At 34.3% G+C, this 18741-nt stretch overlaps 2 protein-coding genes across 21 annotated transcripts in view; one reads left to right on the forward strand and one right to left on the reverse strand.

Moving 5' to 3' along the window:
* Positions 1–13725, forward strand: part of BMP2K (BMP2 inducible kinase) — a 140016-nt gene extending 126291 nt beyond the window's left edge. For all 5 annotated transcript variants that reach the window (XM_047415932.1, NM_198892.2, NM_001419799.1 and 2 more), the window contains one exon: positions 7970–13725. In XM_047415932.1, coding sequence (XP_047271888.1) covers positions 7970–9393 — 1424 coding nt within the window. In that variant the 3' untranslated portion in view covers positions 9394–13725. The remainder of the gene's footprint in view (positions 1–7969) is intronic.
* The window catches only part of PAQR3 (progestin and adipoQ receptor family member 3), a 52363-nt gene that overhangs the window by 15565 nt on the left and 18057 nt on the right, over positions 1–18741 (reverse strand). For 7 of the 16 annotated variants that reach the window (NR_146462.2, NR_146465.2, NR_146463.2 and 4 more), the window contains one exon: positions 9238–18041. Coding sequence is in view for 7 of the 16 variants with exons in the window: in NM_001350105.2 (NP_001337034.1) it covers positions 17899–18041 (143 nt within the window). In the remaining 9 variants the exon portion in view is untranslated. Of the gene's footprint in view, positions 1–3467; positions 3522–9237; positions 18042–18741 lie in introns of those variants that run through there. The other 9 variants (XR_007096371.1, XR_007096372.1, XM_047449645.1 and 6 more) reach the window with 6 other exon arrangements.

An 18741-nucleotide genomic window follows, 5' to 3' on the forward strand; every position in this document is an offset into this window, starting at 1 on the left:
ATAGGTAAGAAAAGAACATCAAAACAAAATTTCCCTGACACTGGAAGCTTCTTATATGATTAAAAATGTACCACCTGTTTTATAACTAAAAGAACAACTGCCCTCTAAAAGGAAAAGAGGGAAACCTGATTCTAGAAGAGCGGTAATATGCATAGTATGATGCAAACATGCTTCTCTCTTCATATTGGATATTTTCTAAATATTTTGAATTTTTTGGTATAGTTTATAAAGGTTTATTTAATAATATATTGCAATATTTGTTTAAAATAGTGTGGCATTAACTAGGATCTCATTCTTTTTATGAAGTATTTGTTTAAAAAATGCTATAACAAATATATGAAAATGTAGCCTAAGAAATGTTGTTTTAGGCATTGACTACAAATTTTTAACTTTTGAGTTTAGAATCCTTGTTTGGACTGTGCAAGGCTATGATGTCTGAAATTTTCCCACCAAGGTATTGTATTGTATTGTATGCCATACAATACCTTGCTGAATGAATTCATTATCAAATTTTAACACCTTCATAAAAGGCCTAAACATAGCCTTTTATGAAGACTCATAAGCACAGAATGGGCAAATTCATGTTCTTGTATTTATTTGGTGAATATAAGCTTGTTTTTCAAAATTATCCTATTGTTATTACCTTGGTCACTCATTTTCCAGATCACTAGAGTCAGATTAGCATGTTTCTGAATGCATAAATGTACATAATTATTTCACAACTTTTTAAGTAAGTAAGCTTCTTGAAGTCTGGTATTGTCTTATTCTTCTTTGTATCCCATACAATACCTTGCTGAATGAATTCATTATCAAAATACACATTAGTAATCTAACACACACCCCCACCCAATATTTAGTGAACATTCACTAAATAAAATGAATTATGTTAACATCATCCCTATCAGGTAAGTTCTATTATTGTCTCTATTTTCTAGATGAGAAAACTCAGGCTTATTTGGATGTTTATCTCTCATGGATTTTGTAAAGTTGAGTATTCTTTTGTTTGTTGATAAAGCCTTATAGTGTTTCTAGAACTTAACCCTACAGAATATTAAAAAAAATTTTTAATACAGGGTACTCATCATACAGGTTCAACAAAAGAGTCTTCATCCTGTTCGTGGCTTTTATTTTTTGGGCATGGTTTTTTAGTGATGATACAAAATAAATGCAAGACAGGCCCATGTTTGTATTTTGTAGTGTGTTGGTGATAAACTGTTGAATTTTTGCTGGTGATAATATTCTACTGGTAGTTTAATTGTAGAATTTACAGATGAGAGTTTTAAGCCAGTGTCAGCAGAGAAGTTATTATGGCTTTGATATATAGTCTTAAATTTAGGCAGGTCTCAGATTTCTTACGTATAAAAAGATGTTGGACTAAATCTCTCAGAATCCTTTCTTATGCTTTCAAGATATAATTGGAATTATGAAAGAGTATTAAAGCCATCAAAAGGAAAAAGTGCAAAGAGATAAGAGAAAGCCAAGGACTGAGTTTTGAGTGTTAACAATGCATGTCTTTGAAACGATAGGAAGTCATGACAGTGAACTAACATGGAAAACAAAGTTTCTGAAAATGTGGTTAATAAGATTGAAGAGAAAAAAGTTCTAAGAAAGATCATAGTAAACCTTACAGAGCATTTTTTGCCCTAAAATGTTGTGGGGGCCTAATATAGGGAGATAAGAGGTAATATATGAAAAACCCTTGGCACTGTGCTTCAGGATATTAGTTCCTATTCCCTCTGATTCATTTCTGATTCAAGTACCATTTGTGTCCTCTTGACACTTATTTCAGTGGTACTTCATTGCTCAGACATTTTTTGCAATACTTGTAATTTTCCTGAGAGACTGTTTACAAGCCACACAAGATAATTTAAAACTTTATAACCTATCATTGCTGTTCTTAATAAATTACCCAGATCTGCATTGTCTTAGTCACTCACCTTATTCTCAGAATTTAGCTCTGAATGAATTTTGGCAGTTTCCAGCAATCAGACTCAACCTCAAAAGATGGGGATTTGCTCTCATTTTCAGATAGTAGAATTCAGCAGAAGTAAAGAATTGAAAGAGCACTGCATTTGATGTTGAGACTTGTATTCTGTTCCAAGTTCTTTTGTTAAGTAGACGTATACCTTCATTTAAGTTCTACTTGAAATGGCTTAATTATTAATTATGGCTCAATAAGAGCATAATTATTATATATTGTGAAAGTCTATGATTTTATTATTTTAACTAGGTTCTGAAAATAAGATAGTTATAATTCCATCTACAATAATGAATCTTTGAAAATTTGGTTCTTGGTTTGAAAGTAGGAAAAAACATTCTTAGTAACTCTGTACCAAAGCTACCTAAAGAAAATTTAACTCTATATTTTTGTATAAATATGTGGAATATATGAATGTATTCCTATTTTGATTTTTTTTCACTAAAAATCTACTTAGTATTATGTTTTGACTAATCTATTGGTTCATTCTTAGTTGGGGAACAGCATTTGAAATAATAGCTCTCAATTAATTGATTAACCCTTTCGTTAAGTTTTGTTTACAGATATTGGTTGATCATATAGATTTTTGCACGGCATTTATTTACTAAATCACTGCATAATTAGTAAACTTGCTTAGTGTCAGTAATTAACATGCAACTTCCTAAGATAATAAAAAAGCTAAAATTTTTAGTTCGTAGTTCCAAAGCACAAAAACAGAAATAAAGAATATCTTGACTAGAAACCATCAAAATATCATTCTACCATATTTAGTTAAAGAAAAAGAAGAAATACATTACTTAGAGCCAAAAATAAAAACAGTGGGTGAATATATGAAATTTCACAGTATACTAAAATAATGTAAATGAGTTATGATTCTGTGCACCATCTACACAGTTTTTAATGCTGTAAATACATGTTGTTAGTGCTTATTCTAAATATTATACCCCCATCTCCCACCTACTTGAAGAACAGCTATTTTTATGTTAATAATACAGATCTCAGTAAATATGGGGATTATTAGGATTTAGGGTATATTGAATTATAAAGCAACATATTTAGGCTTATACTTTTGGGAAATTAACTTTAGCAGTGAAATAATCCTGATTAAATTTCATAGTAAATCAAATGTGTATTATTTAATCTAACAACTAGTGGGAATCTGGCCCCAGACACAAATAGTGGGAAGATCTGAAATTTTTTTTTTTAAATTATAGGAATATGTTTAGGCAAAGAAATGGAGTATGAAGGTTTATGGCATTCTTAGCTAGAGGTCACATTCTAAAGTGCTGTGCATTGTATAGTTATAACCAACTTTATAACTTAAAATACTTATTCTGACAGTCTTTTATGTCTATGGAATAGGACTGAAAGCCTTAGAATATACTGAAATACTTTTTATTTTTGTGTAATTCACCTTTCTTTCCCAGCTCTTCTGTAGTTTCATGATGAATAGATGATTAAGTAGATCACTGCTACTGCAGAAACTTACCTTGGATTGTGGTAACTTGCAGCCTGGAACCTAACTTTTCCTCAGCAGGAGGTACTGGAGAGATAAAAGGATTAATAGTTTGTCTTAGTATGCTTTCAGAGAGCCTCATTACTGCTCTTTACTTTTTATAAGTTTATAACAGCAGTAAAAGTGTAGAGTGAAATATTTAAACAATGTCAGTGTGGGTTGCAAGAATATGGGAGAAAACAGGAATTTGGATAAATATTTTTGATTGTTATTTTAGTTTTATGTAGGGGGGCAAAATAAGTAAAACCAGTCTATCTACACCAACAGAAAATTTCCCCAGTTGCCCGTACTATTTGCAGATGTAACCTGAAAGCACAAAGGTGGTATAGATGATTGTGTCTTTTCTTGCTCTTTTTGAAAGTGTGTTTCCATTTCTTATACTGTGTTCTCAAATATAGCTGTCTAAAAATCAAAAATAGAATTTCCAGGATCTAAAATGTACCCTTATGCTGTGTGGATATACATTTGTTGGTCTACTTACTTCTGGTCAGTTCTGAAGTGGATCTCAGCTCCTCTTGAATTAGCCATAGACTTGCTTCTCCCTACACTTCTCCCTCATTTATATTCACCTGCAACCACTGGGCCCAGAAAAGTTACTAGAAGCTTATTGGGTATGATGGATAAAATAATTGAATTTGGCCATTCCCAGGACATGATGATGGTAGAGTGCTTATTATGTGTTCAGGCACCGTTCTAAGTCCTTTCTTCACAATAGCTCTATGATATAAAATGTGTTATCCCATTTTGTGTATAAAGAAAGTGGAATAGTGGTGACCTTGTCAGGATTATTATTGGGTTAGCTTTAGTAGCTGTGTTAATTACCCATGAGGAGGGAATCATAGTATATAAATAAAGTGAAATTGATACTAAAAAAGGAGGGTTTCCTTTTTACTCCTTGAAGGAAAAAGTGCATGAATCATGGTTGTATCTAAAATGCCGAAAAACTAGAAACAACCTAAATATTCTATTGCTAAATAGTGAACAGTTATATATGGAATATTTTATCATATTTCTATCAGAATAAATAATAGACTGTTGATACCTGAAAAGATGCATTAAAAATAGTAAGTTAAAAACCCACAGATTTATACCCACACTGACAATTATAAATGTGTATTTCTATTAATACAACTTTGATAAATGGACAAAGGGCCAACAGAATGAGAAGTATAAAGTGACAGATGTCTTCTGAAAAGTAATGGTAGCCAGTTGAATAATGAAAACAGTAAATTTTAAGAAGACTAGGGAGTACAATGTAATAATTTTAAAAAGAAGGCGAATTTAAATTCACTTCCAAGTGACACTCTCCAAGATGAATTATCTGTCCTACGTTAAATGTTCCAGAAGACCTTCAGGAACACAACTAGAAATGGAAAATTTCAAGATAAGTTGTATAGCAGCATTTCCCCAAAGTACTTTTGCATAGTTGGTTTTAAAGGTTAACAGGCATTACATGTAAATAAAAGGGTAGTGAAGACAATTTGGGAAATCCTAGGGTTCATAAAATTAGATTCTTTTGTGTAGGACTCATTAGCACCTTTAATGAGCATACTCCAGGTGAGTAGGAGTGGAGGCAGAATGCAGAGTGCACCATTTCATAGACTTGTTTGCTTGAGACCACAGAACTGTTTGTCTTGGTTCTTGTTAGGGAAATAGCCTCTGCAGAATACACTTTGGGCAACATTGGAATGTTACTTGGAGGTGTCCGTGAGCAGGCGTGAGGTGTGAATGTTGTGGCTGTGGGTGGGTATGCAGCTCGAGGAGTAATACGTTAAACGTTTCACAGTCAGGGATGATGGGAAATCTTCTGGAACCGTACATATTTTATTTTCATTTTTCCCTTCTTCCCATATTTTGCTTTTGAATAAAAATTCATAAAAATAAATTCACTAAAATTAACTTTGTTTTTAATATCATAAATACGCTGTGTAGGGAAGAAGTCAAACTTGAGAATCTGCATTTGATTTGCTTTTAATCTGGAAGGATAACAAATACAGCATGTAGCTCTTGGCTGGTTTTAAGGAACTGACAGAAGATTATATTTGCAATTAAGTATAACCTGGTGGTATTCTTCACATACTTGTCTCCCACACATTCTTTAGCACCACTACTCATGTCAACATTGCCAACAAACTATACAAGATGACCAGATCCAGTGGCCATTTTATGTCCTTAGTTTACTGGACCTCTTTGCACCATCCAGCTCAGTTGTCTGTTACCTCCCTCAAACATTCTTCTCTCTCCATTTCTGTGACATTGCACTCAGCTGTTTTCTTCCTCCTCTCTGGCTGTTACTTTGTAGTTTGTTTTGTATGTTCATCTTCCTCTGCTGACTTCTGAATGTTTTATACTGAGGGCTCAGTTTTGGATCTTCTTTTCTTCTATGTTTTCTTCCGAGGTATGCCCTTTAGTCTTGTGGCTCTCTCTGCATACCAACTGCATGGTGATAACTCCCAAATCTATTTTCTTCAGCCAAAAACTAACCATTGGTTTCAAATCACAGATACCTAACTGCTGTACACTTAAATGTTGTCTCACACATATGTCAAGCTTAATGTCTCCAAACAAAATTTTTAGTACTCCTCTTCACTTTCCAACTTACTCATTTTTTAAAAAATTATGCTCATTAAAATTTGTGTGTGGGTACATAGTAGGTATATACATTTATGGGGTACATGAGATATGTTGATACAGGTATACAGTGCATAATAATCACATCAGGGTAAATGGGTTTCTATCACGCCACTCATTCTTTTCTTTCTGTTAATGGTGCTGCCATCCACCAAGAGTTTTCAATCTCTATTTTTTCTACTTTGACCCACCCTGCCACCACTGTCATGTCATCTAGGCCACCAAAATCTCTAACTTGCATTACTATAATTTCCTTTTGCCTGAACTCCCCTTCTTACCTTCCCTTAGTCTTTTTTTTTTTTTTTTTTTTTTTTGAGACAGTTCGCTCTTTGGCCCAGACTGGAGTGCAGTGGTGCGATCTTGGCTCACTGCAACCTCTGTCTTCCAGTTTCAAGCGATTCTCCTGGCTCAGCTGGCACCTGCCAACATGCCTGGCTAATTTTTCTATTTTTAGTAGAGATGGGGTTTCACCATGTTGGCCAGGCTGGTCTCAAACTCCTGACCTCGTGATCCACCCGCCTTGGCCTCCCAAAGTGCTGGGATTACAGGGGTGAGCCACCGCACCCAGCCCCCTTAGTGTTTTTCTATAGAGCAGTCATTTTTTTTTATGTAAACCTAATCATGACACCTATTTTAATAATAGCTTTCCATTATACATGGAATTTTGAATTAGATGTATAATGAAATATACGCTGCTTATCATGGCCTTAGAGGACCTTCACAGTCTGGCCTTTTCCAGTCTTCCTTACCTCATGTTGTACCTGATCCTCCCTTGCTCACTATATTCCAGCCACAATAGCCTATTTTCAGCCCCTTAAATATGTCTTTATATATGCCATTGCTTTTATTGGAAGCTGCTTCCAGCTTATCCTTTGCATGGCTGGGCTCCTTCTCATTGTTCAATCCTAACTGTCGTCTCCTTAGGGAGGTCTTCACCACTGTCCAAAGTAGGTTTATGCGCCCATTTCCCTGCTGTCCTTTATTTCAGAGCACTAGTCACAATTTATGTTTACTTACAACCTCTGACTGTAAACCCCTGAAAGCAGAAACCATGTTTCTTTTACTCACCAATGTATAATCAGTGTATAGCAAAGTGCCCTATATTTCTTTCGTTGAATGAACTCAGAAAATGAAGTGACTGAATGGATTCTGAGCTAAAAACATCTCCAGATGGTTTAGATTTGTTTTTAAAGGAATCTCGCTTTTTTAATGTAATGTATAGATATTATAATTAAAGGAAGTCATATCATCTAGAGAAGGCAGATGTTTTTGGTACAGTCTCCATTTAGTATCTGGTCCTTAGCTTTGGTGAGGCCATTCATGCTAAGTCAATTCAAAAGATAGTGGTTTATAAAAAATACAATGCTGATTTAAAAAAATAGTGAAACAAATACGTAACTGAGCAGGCAGGCTGTTCATGCTTGTTGATCTCTATGGGAAAACTTTACAAGAGTTGAAATATAAGCAGGAGGTATTTGGTGAATGTGAAATCTGAGCTTTCAGAATTAGCAGAATAATGTTATTTTGGTGGTGGGGTGAAGAAAATTTGCTAGTCTACTACATTCTGTGTGCTATAAATAAAATTTGGCTGTCAGTGAGAGTACGATGAGGCAGGGTGTAGGGTCCAGATATGAATAAGTCTGTCTACATTAAGACTTAACTATCTACCTGAGGTCAAATGCATTCTCTAAGTCTAATGACGAAGAATTGACAACATTATTTTTTCCTCTAAGGGAACTCGTATGAGGGATTTGTAATGCCATGTGTAATACATATTAACATTTAGTGCAAGAGGATTCTGAAATGCATTGGAATGCTGTAATAATATTTATTTGAACTTGCAGGTTCTCCTGAAAAGAAAGCTGAACATTCATCTATAAATCAAGAAAATGGCACTGCAAACCCTATCAAGAACGGTAAAACAAGTCCAGCATCTAAAGATCAGCGGACTGGAAAGAAAACCTCAGTACAGGGTCAAGTGCAAAAGGGGAATGATGAATCTGAAAGTGATTTTGAATCAGATCCCCCTTCTCCTAAGAGCAGTGAAGAGGAAGAGCAAGATGATGAAGAAGTTCTTCAGGGGGAACAAGGAGATTTTAATGATGATGATACTGAACCAGAAAATCTGGGTCATAGGCCTCTCCTCATGGATTCTGAAGATGAGGAAGAAGAGGAGAAACATAGCTCTGATTCTGATTATGAGCAGGCTAAAGCAAAGTACAGTGACATGAGCTCTGTCTACAGAGACAGATCTGGCAGTGGACCAACCCAAGATCTTAATACAATACTCCTCACCTCAGCCCAATTATCCTCTGATGTTGCAGTGGAGACTCCCAAACAGGAGTTTGATGTATTTGGCGCTGTCCCCTTCTTTGCAGTGCGTGCTCAACAGCCCCAGCAAGAAAAGAATGAAAAGAACCTCCCTCAACACAGGTTTCCTGCTGCAGGACTGGAGCAGGAGGAATTTGATGTATTCACAAAGGCGCCTTTTAGCAAGAAGGTGAATGTACAAGAATGCCATGCAGTGGGGCCTGAGGCACATACTATCCCTGGTTATCCCAAAAGTGTAGATGTATTTGGCTCCACTCCATTTCAGCCCTTCCTCACATCAACAAGTAAAAGTGAAAGCAATGAGGACCTTTTTGGGCTTGTGCCCTTTGATGAAATAACGGGGAGCCAGCAGCAAAAAGTCAAACAGCGCAGCTTACAGAAACTGTCCTCTCGCCAAAGGCGCACAAAGCAGGATATGTCCAAAAGTAATGGGAAGCGGCATCATGGCACGCCAACTAGCACAAAGAAGACTTTGAAGCCTACCTATCGCACTCCAGAGAGGGCTCGCAGGCACAAAAAAGTGGGCCGCCGAGACTCTCAAAGTAGCAATGAATTTTTAACCATCTCAGACTCCAAGGAGAACATTAGTGTTGCACTGACTGATGGGAAAGATAGGGGGAATGTCTTACAACCTGAGGAGAGCCTGTTGGACCCCTTCGGTGCCAAGCCCTTCCATTCTCCAGACCTGTCATGGCACCCTCCACATCAGGGCCTGAGCGACATCCGTGCTGATCACAATACTGTCCTGCCAGGGCGGCCAAGACAAAATTCACTACATGGGTCATTCCATAGTGCAGATGTATTGAAAATGGATGATTTTGGTGCCGTGCCCTTTACAGAACTTGTGGTGCAAAGCATCACTCCACATCAGTCCCAACAGTCCCAACCAGTCGAATTAGACCCATTTGGTGCTGCTCCATTTCCTTCTAAACAGTAGATACTTCTGATGGATTCTCGGCATTAACTCCTGTTTCAAAAAAGTGTGAACAGTTTTATGAATTTGAAAGAAAATTTGGTAGCTCTTTATAGCATTCATTCTTAAAGATCAGTCAGAATAGGTGATTTCTAAATAAACCAAATAGAAGAATGAAGTATCTCTACAGGGTAGTAACTTGATTCCTCTTCAGGAGAAAAGGGAGCTAAATTGCAAGCTCTAACTAAGGGTTTCTGCTACTGACATCACAACACAGAAATGCAAGTGTGGTACTTCCAGTGAAAGCACATGGCACCTTTCTAGGTGTGTAGCCACTGAGAAGGGACAGTGAAACTGTTATTTTTGATATCAGAATGTCATTTTTATGTGCATATCCCTAAAATTAGGGTTATTTCTACATACACTAGTTACACTTGTGAATTTTTTTTAAGGTCTCTTTTAATTTCCAGACAGTTAAAAACAATCTAGTTATCTTAAAGCATTAGAAAGTTATTATCTGGAGAGTGCAGAGATTTCAGTCCATACACCTTTCTCCACAAAGCAGAGCCAGAAGTAACTGACTATTGTGCCTAAAACTCTGTTTCATTTTTAAAAACAAGTGCCATTAAAATGGAATATCTAATGATAAGCATATGAAATAATGTGTAATTAGCTCAATTTAACTATTCCACAACTTACATATTCCAAAACAATGTTATACATGATAAATATATATAATTTTTGTCAGTTAAAACAAATTAAAAAAATGGACTATCGTCGCACAGAAGCCTAGAACAAAAATATGAAGAGAAATATCTGACATTTGTAAAGAAATTATAAGAAGAAAAAAAGATACAGAACAGAAAACATTCACTACTTTAGAAACACTTTATGCATGGCTTCTTGCCCCAAACTTTTATTGTGATGGCCCTAATAAAGCAGATTATTGGAAAAATTGGAGGACAAGGGTTGTATAAAAATTTTATTTTATGAAGAAAATATGTAGCGGAAACTGAATTTTCAAGACATTTACAATGTGAAATCATGTTGCATTTAACAATGTACTTTATTAGCAACTTCACCAAATATTCCCCAAGTCATAAGCAACAATTATTTTTATTAGGTTTTGGGGGGTGGAGTAGTTTTAATAAAGTGCACAGAATGGTGACACCCACAAAGCCTTATATAAAGGCAGGATTCATGCATCCTGCTGCAAGTACCTCTGCACTAATATACCAGATCCTAAAATGCATATAAGGTGGACTAGCATCTTAATTCTGCTAGTTGATTGTGTCTTTACTGAAAAGAACCCAGCTACCAATTTGCCTTTTTTTACACCACAAATCCTAATTAGAAACTTGAGGTTTTATAGAAATCATTTAATGATAGAGATTACATATGTGAATTAATGTGAATATAGTATCTGTGCTTCCTGTGTCTATGACTATTTTAAGATATAATTGTGCTGCGCTATCAGATTAACATTTGGAAGTTTCTAGAACAGTTAATGCTATTTACAGAAAGGAGTAGAAACTCATCAACTGGCACTCTCTTTGATTTTTATATTTTAAATTAACTCTCTTCGATCTCAAAGTATATTTTACGAGTAATTTTATTAGGAATCTCTTATAGTGCCCCAATGGGATAAGCTATTTGCCTATTTTCACAGTTCTGAACTTGGAAAGAAGCAAAGTATATGTAACTAAACCACATATTTGTCTTTTTATTGCTTTTTCCCTTCTTTTATATGCTAAATCAAATATAGATTTGTGGATAGGGAAGCAATATGTGAATCACAATGTAGCAGAGGCAGACCAAGCATTACATTATTATTTAGAGCTGGACTGCACCAATTACTTGTCCTCGTGCCAAAGGCAAATATGTTTGCACCTTTTTTTTTTTTTCTGATTCTCAGGTTGATTAATACTGCTAATGCAAATGCTCAAGTAGATGTTTAAAAACTTTACAAAATAGATTCAAGTGATACTTTCTTTTAAAAGTGAAGAGTTGATGATTACACATAGTAAATTCATGAACTACAGTAGGTTTGTATCAAACAATTTTTTTTAATGAAAATCTGTTGAGGTGTACACAATATGCTTCTTGATTGTATTAGTCCTTGGTCTCTGCTAGACCTCATGAGTTTCATCATTTAGAAAAGGGGTAGAGGATGAACTAATGTCTCCTTCAGATGTAAACATGAAATACCTAGAGTTTTACTTGCTTTTCAATACACTGAATAATTTTAAATGATTCTGACACTGATGTAGACCCTTTGACTTATAAATTCTGAGGAAACAACTGACAGCATAAAATATTTACATTCTTATAACACAGCACAGTGACTTTCTTCTTTCAAGATTGTAGCTCAGAGAAAAGATACAGGATTCAATTGGGGGTTCAATAGGATAGAAATGGAGAGATTCCTTTGTGTTGTAGTAGAGGCATTTTCCTAAGGAGTATAGATTTATACTTTGCATTTTCATTCATCATCCCCCAGAATCATGGTCAAGGTGTAGGTCACTCCACACAGCTGATGCTCAGGTTATTCCCTTGTGAGAATTATGAGAATAAAGCTCCCAAGATATGTGAAAGTGCTTAACACAGTACCTGGCACACAGCACTCAATAAAAGTTTGGCTCTATTATGGGATGGTTCAATTCTGGTTTAAGGAAGGAAGAAAGGTTATTATATATGTACCACTAAGCAAATATATATATATATATATATTTGGGGTTTTTTTTCCCTAATATTATTTGGGTGTCCCCTGTGCTTCTTTAGGATGTAGTTATAACTAAACCTGTTATACTTGAACATCACTAAGAGAAGTAAATTATTATGAAGCTAGCAAAAATCTTGAGGCCAAAGTTGTTTCTTAACAGCTTTAATAATGCTTGTTGATTTTGAATAATCCTTTAAAAAGTGGACCATTTGCTTATTTTAATATCACGTCAGTAAAATGTTAGTATTAAAAAGATCAGCTTTTTATGGCATTGAAGAATGTATCTGCTAAGACACAAAAATTGCATGGTAAGTATAATAGGTGGAGGAGGAAAGGTTGTAGGCCGGATGAAAATTTAACTGACTAGAACATTTATTCAGGAGTGTAATTATTTTCCCTTACCCCAATCCCTGTGTACGTGTTGGGTATAGTTACGACATTATCCGGATTTGCAAATAGACACAACTTTCAGTCTTACCCTGTTTATTGTTTAAGAGTGATAGACTGTTGTCCTCTTGCTGGTGGAAAATCTAAGGTGGAGCCCACTCTTCTATGCTGAAGTTCACCAGGCAGAGCAGTTTTCTTACAAGTCAGCTACTCTGCTTGGTTTATTTTAGGTTTTGGTACTTCACGTAAGCACTGTTAGAAGGTACAAGTGTATTAATATCACTAGTTTTGAGGCGCTTGGGTACATTTGTTTTTAATATATTTAGAATGTGCAGTAAACTTTTTTCTCATTTTTTTTTCTTTTTAGCAAACTTGTTATTTTAGGTCCAATTATTGAGTTGACAGTCTACTGTGAGAATGAGATGACATATCTACTGTGAGAATACCATAAATGATGAATAGTTTATTTGAGAACTTTTATACTCAGTGGTGTTTTATATATTAAGATAAAAATATGTACACACATGCATGTCACATCTCTCTACTGTGGAGTTAATGTGAATTTTTAAAAAATGGAATTGCAACCACAATCATATCTAAGAGAACATTCACTCCTAGTGAGGGTTTACAAAAGCTACTAAGAGAATAAGGTAGATGATAATGCAAAGGGTCATGATTTGGGGTTATTTTTGTTTTATTTTAAAATTTATACTGCTACTTTTGAAAGAATTGTTTTTATGACTATGCTCTTTTTGTGATTGAAAAGTCATCTAATAGAAGCTGTATAGAAGCTACTTTTTAATTGCTGGCAAACAGCTTTAAGTGCACTTTCTTTGATTACACTTCCATTTTTTGTTAAACTTGAATTTTCTGAAGCCTTTTATGTACCACTAAGCAAATAACTTTAACCTTTAAATAAAGCAAATTTACATCTTTATTGTATTTCTACTTGTTACAAAACATACTTGCTAAAGTAACTTCAGTCCTCAAATATAGCTGGGAAACAATTATGAGATAGACTCAGTCTCCCCCTCCCACCCCTTTTCCCCTGCCATATCTAATTAAGCACTAACTGATTTTATTACTTTATTGCCTTTACACTGCTTATTCTTTTTGACTGAATTCTGTCCCTGATTCACTGTTTTGTTTGAAATTTAAAGTTATTTTCTTACTGTATTTATCATACCTGTTTTAATCTGTTTTCTTTAAATGCAATAAATCCCAAATGGATTGCATATTCTTTATAATCAGTGACTTTGGAGTTTTTCATTATTTGTCTTATTATGACTTTTGGATGTAAACTTCTATTCAAATTCAGTTATTTCATTCACACCACAAACATTAAGCACCTATTATGTAGCAGCTAGTGGAATAGAAAAGTTGCTAAGATTAGATCCCTATTCTTAAGGAGCTCAGAGTTTACAATTTAGGTAAGAAAACCCATTTGACTTAAGAGTTTTTGCCACAAGAACACTTAATAGCACGACTTTTTCAGTGAGTCATAATTACTGATACTCGAGTGATGACAGTAAGGCAAAAACAATATTGTGTAGTGCCTTCTGAATAACTTATTTTACAGCTTCCACATTATAAATTTTTAAAAATCTTTAAAACTGATAACATCTTTGGCTGAATTAATACTGGTTATTTGCTTAAATAACATTGTAATCCTCAATTATATCAGAAAAGAGGCTATGACACATTAAAGAGAAAACCTATTTATTGGATTGATGGACTAAGCTTGGCATCAAGGTTATAATATGTATTATTCCAAAAACTGGAGTCTTTGGTAGCCTGTGGAAAGGTTCATCCTATTTTTATGAATTAACTTTTTCTGAAGTTGTAACATTTATCTAAAGTTATGTGAAAAAAAGGGGCTTTGTATCTTTTTAATGAAAATGAATGGTACAAAGCAAAATAACACAAATGATTAGAAAAGTTCTATTAACAAAGAATAGTTTGCAGTGTATTACTGTTCAAATTCAGTTATAGTTACTTGAGATGAATATATGCTGCAATTTGAGCTATTTATTTTGGATAACGAATACCTTTTTAAGGAAGCCCAGGTCAAGCATCATATGTAACATGTAGTTAATATTCTCATATTGAAAGCTTGAGCTTGTATTTGTTGTTACATATTAAATGAGATAGTTCAGATGGTTGTCACAATTGAGATTATGTGCAGGTTAGGTAGTATTTTGATCTCAGATTTTATAGAGCAGGACTAGAACCTTGGTGGCTGTTCATTTCAGCCCTCTTAAGGATGGAGGTTAATTTTTCACAAGAAACCCCCTACTGCTATTTACCTCTCCCTTCCAAAAATGTTTTCTTAAGGGTAGTTTCAGTTCTGGATCATTATCTCATTACACTACTTGGGAATTCTGGTACAAAATTTCAGAGGACTGTATTTACACCTCTTTAGTGTAAACACAGTTATTGTGATAATGCACACAGAAGGTATTTCTACCCCTTCTCTAATAGGTGAGCTGATTCTTTACACACTTGGGCAGAAGTAGAATTCCCAGGAATGATGATTTACAGTGGACAGGGACCTAATGCAGCAAAGCAACCAGCAGGAATTCACAGGAATAGGCTTTGCCCCTTGACATTTAATACAGGGCAAAGTATTATCTAGTAGGTACCTGCCAAATGGAGAGTTGTACAGTTTTACGGAAGTCAATCACAATCTTCAAATCGGATATTCTGTCCAGGTGGGATGCCATAAGATGTGACAGACATTCCCTGAATCTTCGTTCCTGATTCTAAAATATGATTTTAAAGCTGTTATGTATTACAAAGAATGACAAGCAGCAGTTAAAAATATTTAGTAAACCCAGTTTATTTACATAATACATATTTTGTCATGCAGCTTACTGAATTGCAGTTAGTGTAATAACAAAAAAAGACAAGCACTGTCTTGCTATTTGAAAATGGCTTAATATAGAAAGATAATTGTTTCTTAAATGAGTTAACCACAACCATATAAATTGCTAGACAATTTAAAACAGCCATAGATAATTTTAAAATGTAAAATCTGTAGGCAAAAAGCTTTTATAGTTCACACATTGGTAAAATTAAAACCAGTCTTTTTTAGTAATAAAACTGGATAGTATATTTTAATCTTACTTTAATCTATAAAAACAAAAATAACTTAAATATACATCATTACAAGGCTCAGATTTGTAGACAACTTTAAAATATTTTTTAATGTTAACAATGTCTTCAAAATTTTACCAGTAGTGCTGTGCACACAGTAGGTGGTCATTAAATGCTGACTGACATACAGAAGTGTTTCTAGTTAACAGCAATCCATATTCATTCATTCATTCCCTATTTTATAATAAATATATCATAGCAGTGAAAAAATGAGAGGATAACTTTCTTACAATATTTAACATTTTCATACAGAGTTGAAATGTTTACATGGAATAATTTTCCCTACAGAAAGACCTGTACACCCTTTAAATTCAAAGAAACACGGATTTAAAAACACAGTATACTCTTTTCATGTTATTAATTCAAATGGCAAGTATGTATTCATATACTAATACAGGGACTGCAAAAATTGAAATGATTCAATGTTTTTTTATTTTGAGAAAGTTTTATAATAAAAATGGCTCCACACCTAAAATAATGATTTTCCCCTCATTTTTAACTTAAGTGTAACTACTCAGTGTCTTTTGTTTGGCCAAAATGACAAAATATCTATTAAAAGGCAATAAAATCATGTAAGCCAATAAGGGATGTTCTAGGAGAAATATATCCTACTACTGTTGCACCAAAATCTTCTATCACTTAACATATGGATCAAAATTTTAACCTTATAAGGTAAAACAGCCATTTTCAAAGCAGCCTTCCATCATAACGATGGGTAAGACACGGTATTCCTTTACTGAGCCTCCTGGGGGGAAATTCTCTTTGCTGAGATACTATACTAGCATGGGGAATTTATATTCCAAAAACACTACACTGGAAAAGAAACACAACATTTTACTGATGTATTAACTGAGGCACATTAGTGACTTTCCAAGTATCATATGCACAAAAGGCATTTTGGGAATAAGCTTCATCATCAATTAACATTTTTTCTGATATTCAGTAATTTTACTGTTCTGAAAATACACCAGTATTTAAAACAGCTCATGTCAACTCATGAAGAAACTTGGGTAATATTTTATACTCCAATAAACAATGTAAGTTTTTATGAATGTCTACTTTAAGGGATTTAACTAATGCATATGAAAGACCAAAGAATAAGAGGGCTACAATGTATGATAGGGCAGTGAGTTCTATTTTTTAAGTATATACAATAAAAAGAAAGTTTAATGCTTCAGGCCCAAATATTAAGTGTTTATCAAGATTCTGAGTTATCAATGCAATGCTAACACATGCAGAAACCGAGGACCAGAGCACAGGTGAATAAGATTATTATCAAATGGGGCATCTGCATGACTTTGTTCTAAGGCTTAAGGTTCATTTCAGGGTCAAGACAGGGCCATCTAGATTCTATGGCCTTGCAAGTAGCACCCACAATGCTGGGAACCCCCACCACTGGGATATTCAGGACTACAAATTCAGAGAGTTGAAAGCTCTGGAATTTTGGGATCAAAAACCTGTAATCCACTCACAAGAATTCAGTTATTATATGGAATTAAATAATATCTGGAATTAAAATGTTTAGGTGGCTAATGACTATATTATTTGACCACATAATTTGTTGTCTAATCTTGTACTTAGTTTCTAATGTGATTCTTATCTGATAGAAAATGAGAAGTTCTTTTCCTCTTCTCAACCCTTCTCTCAACTTACTGCAGAAGTTTAAAGCTTTTGTTCTGGAAAACTAAAATATCTAATGTTCTTAGGGAGAGAAGAACCTATAGCTAAAGGATATAATATCTGAAGTGCCAGTTTCTCACAAATCATTTTAGTGATTATTTAAATCTAGTGATTTTAGTGATTATTTAAAATCACTATCCTAGCTTGCATTAAGCATAGGCTGAAACAACACTTGCCTTGATTAGGCACTTAAACTTGACAATTAACTGAAAATAATTAAGCACATAAGATGACTCCATTTTCTAATGGACATGAGCCCTTCCTAAGGAAATTAAGCTGGTGCTAAGTAAAATGAATCCTATTTCAACACTAGTTTCCCATTCATCGTTGTTATTCAGATGTTTCTTATGATTGCCAACTAATTTTCACTTTCTGTACAAGCAGCAAATTAGTAGTTTTAAGGATTTTGTAAAGCAGTTATTACTACAGATCCTTAAGTATACTTTTTTTCCCATTTTTATAAAGCATTACTCATATTAAAAAGGAAAAAGGGAAAACTAATGGGAATCTTAGAAATAGTGGGGTATACAATTCCCCATTATATATTGCTTAACAACTGAATTCACCAGGTGGCCATACCTAATTCACAAATGTGAAACATAGTCAGGACAAGGCTTGCTATGTCTGTACTGCATGACATACACTGTTGACTGATGCCACCAATATAACATCACTACTGCAAGGATATGCCATATTTGGTGGCTTGATCCGAGGTAGTTTAGTTGTCCTGGAAAGAAGGTAGAAAGAAAATGATAATGATTTCAATATGTTGACATTAAAGGAAAAATATATTTCTTGGAAGTATAGCTTAGCAGAAAAATTTTCATAGTCTCAGAGTGCCTAGAGACTAACTGGAAGCTCCAAACGTTTTTAGAAATGGATCAATTCATATTTGGGTCTAATTTTAAGGTTTTATTTATTAAGTACACAGGTAAACTTTAGAAATGCTATTCCAAGTGTGTTTTCAAAATCTAACTTAATTTCAGGAATTTGACCTTATGCCTCCCACATCTCAACTCACATTTGATGGAATGAACAACAACAAAAAATTATTGAGAGAGGCAAAAGAAACCAGATGTTAAAAATCATGGTGTGATTTAGGTATAAATCCGCGAGAAGGAGATATACTGCTGGGTTTAGATATAAACCTATTAGAAGCACTTTTTATTTCAAGCAGGTGTGCAAAGAAAAAGTGCTGACCTGAATTCTGTGCTCTCTAACTAATGGAATAATCTGCAGGATGTAATTAGTAATGGATTAATTAACTAAGGTTGTTTAGTTCATATACAACTTAAGAGAACAATTTAATCTCTTTGTGGTCAAATGTTAAATTCTGAGAAGATTAAACAATTAACATACGGAAAACTTCTTGATCTCTCTCAGTAAATAAAATACAGAGCTATAATAATTTCAATGTAAATAACATA

The sequence above is a fragment of the Homo sapiens genome, chromosome 4, assembly GCF_000001405.40.
Source record: "Homo sapiens chromosome 4, GRCh38.p14 Primary Assembly".
NCBI classification, from domain to species: domain Eukaryota; kingdom Metazoa; phylum Chordata; class Mammalia; order Primates; family Hominidae; genus Homo; species Homo sapiens.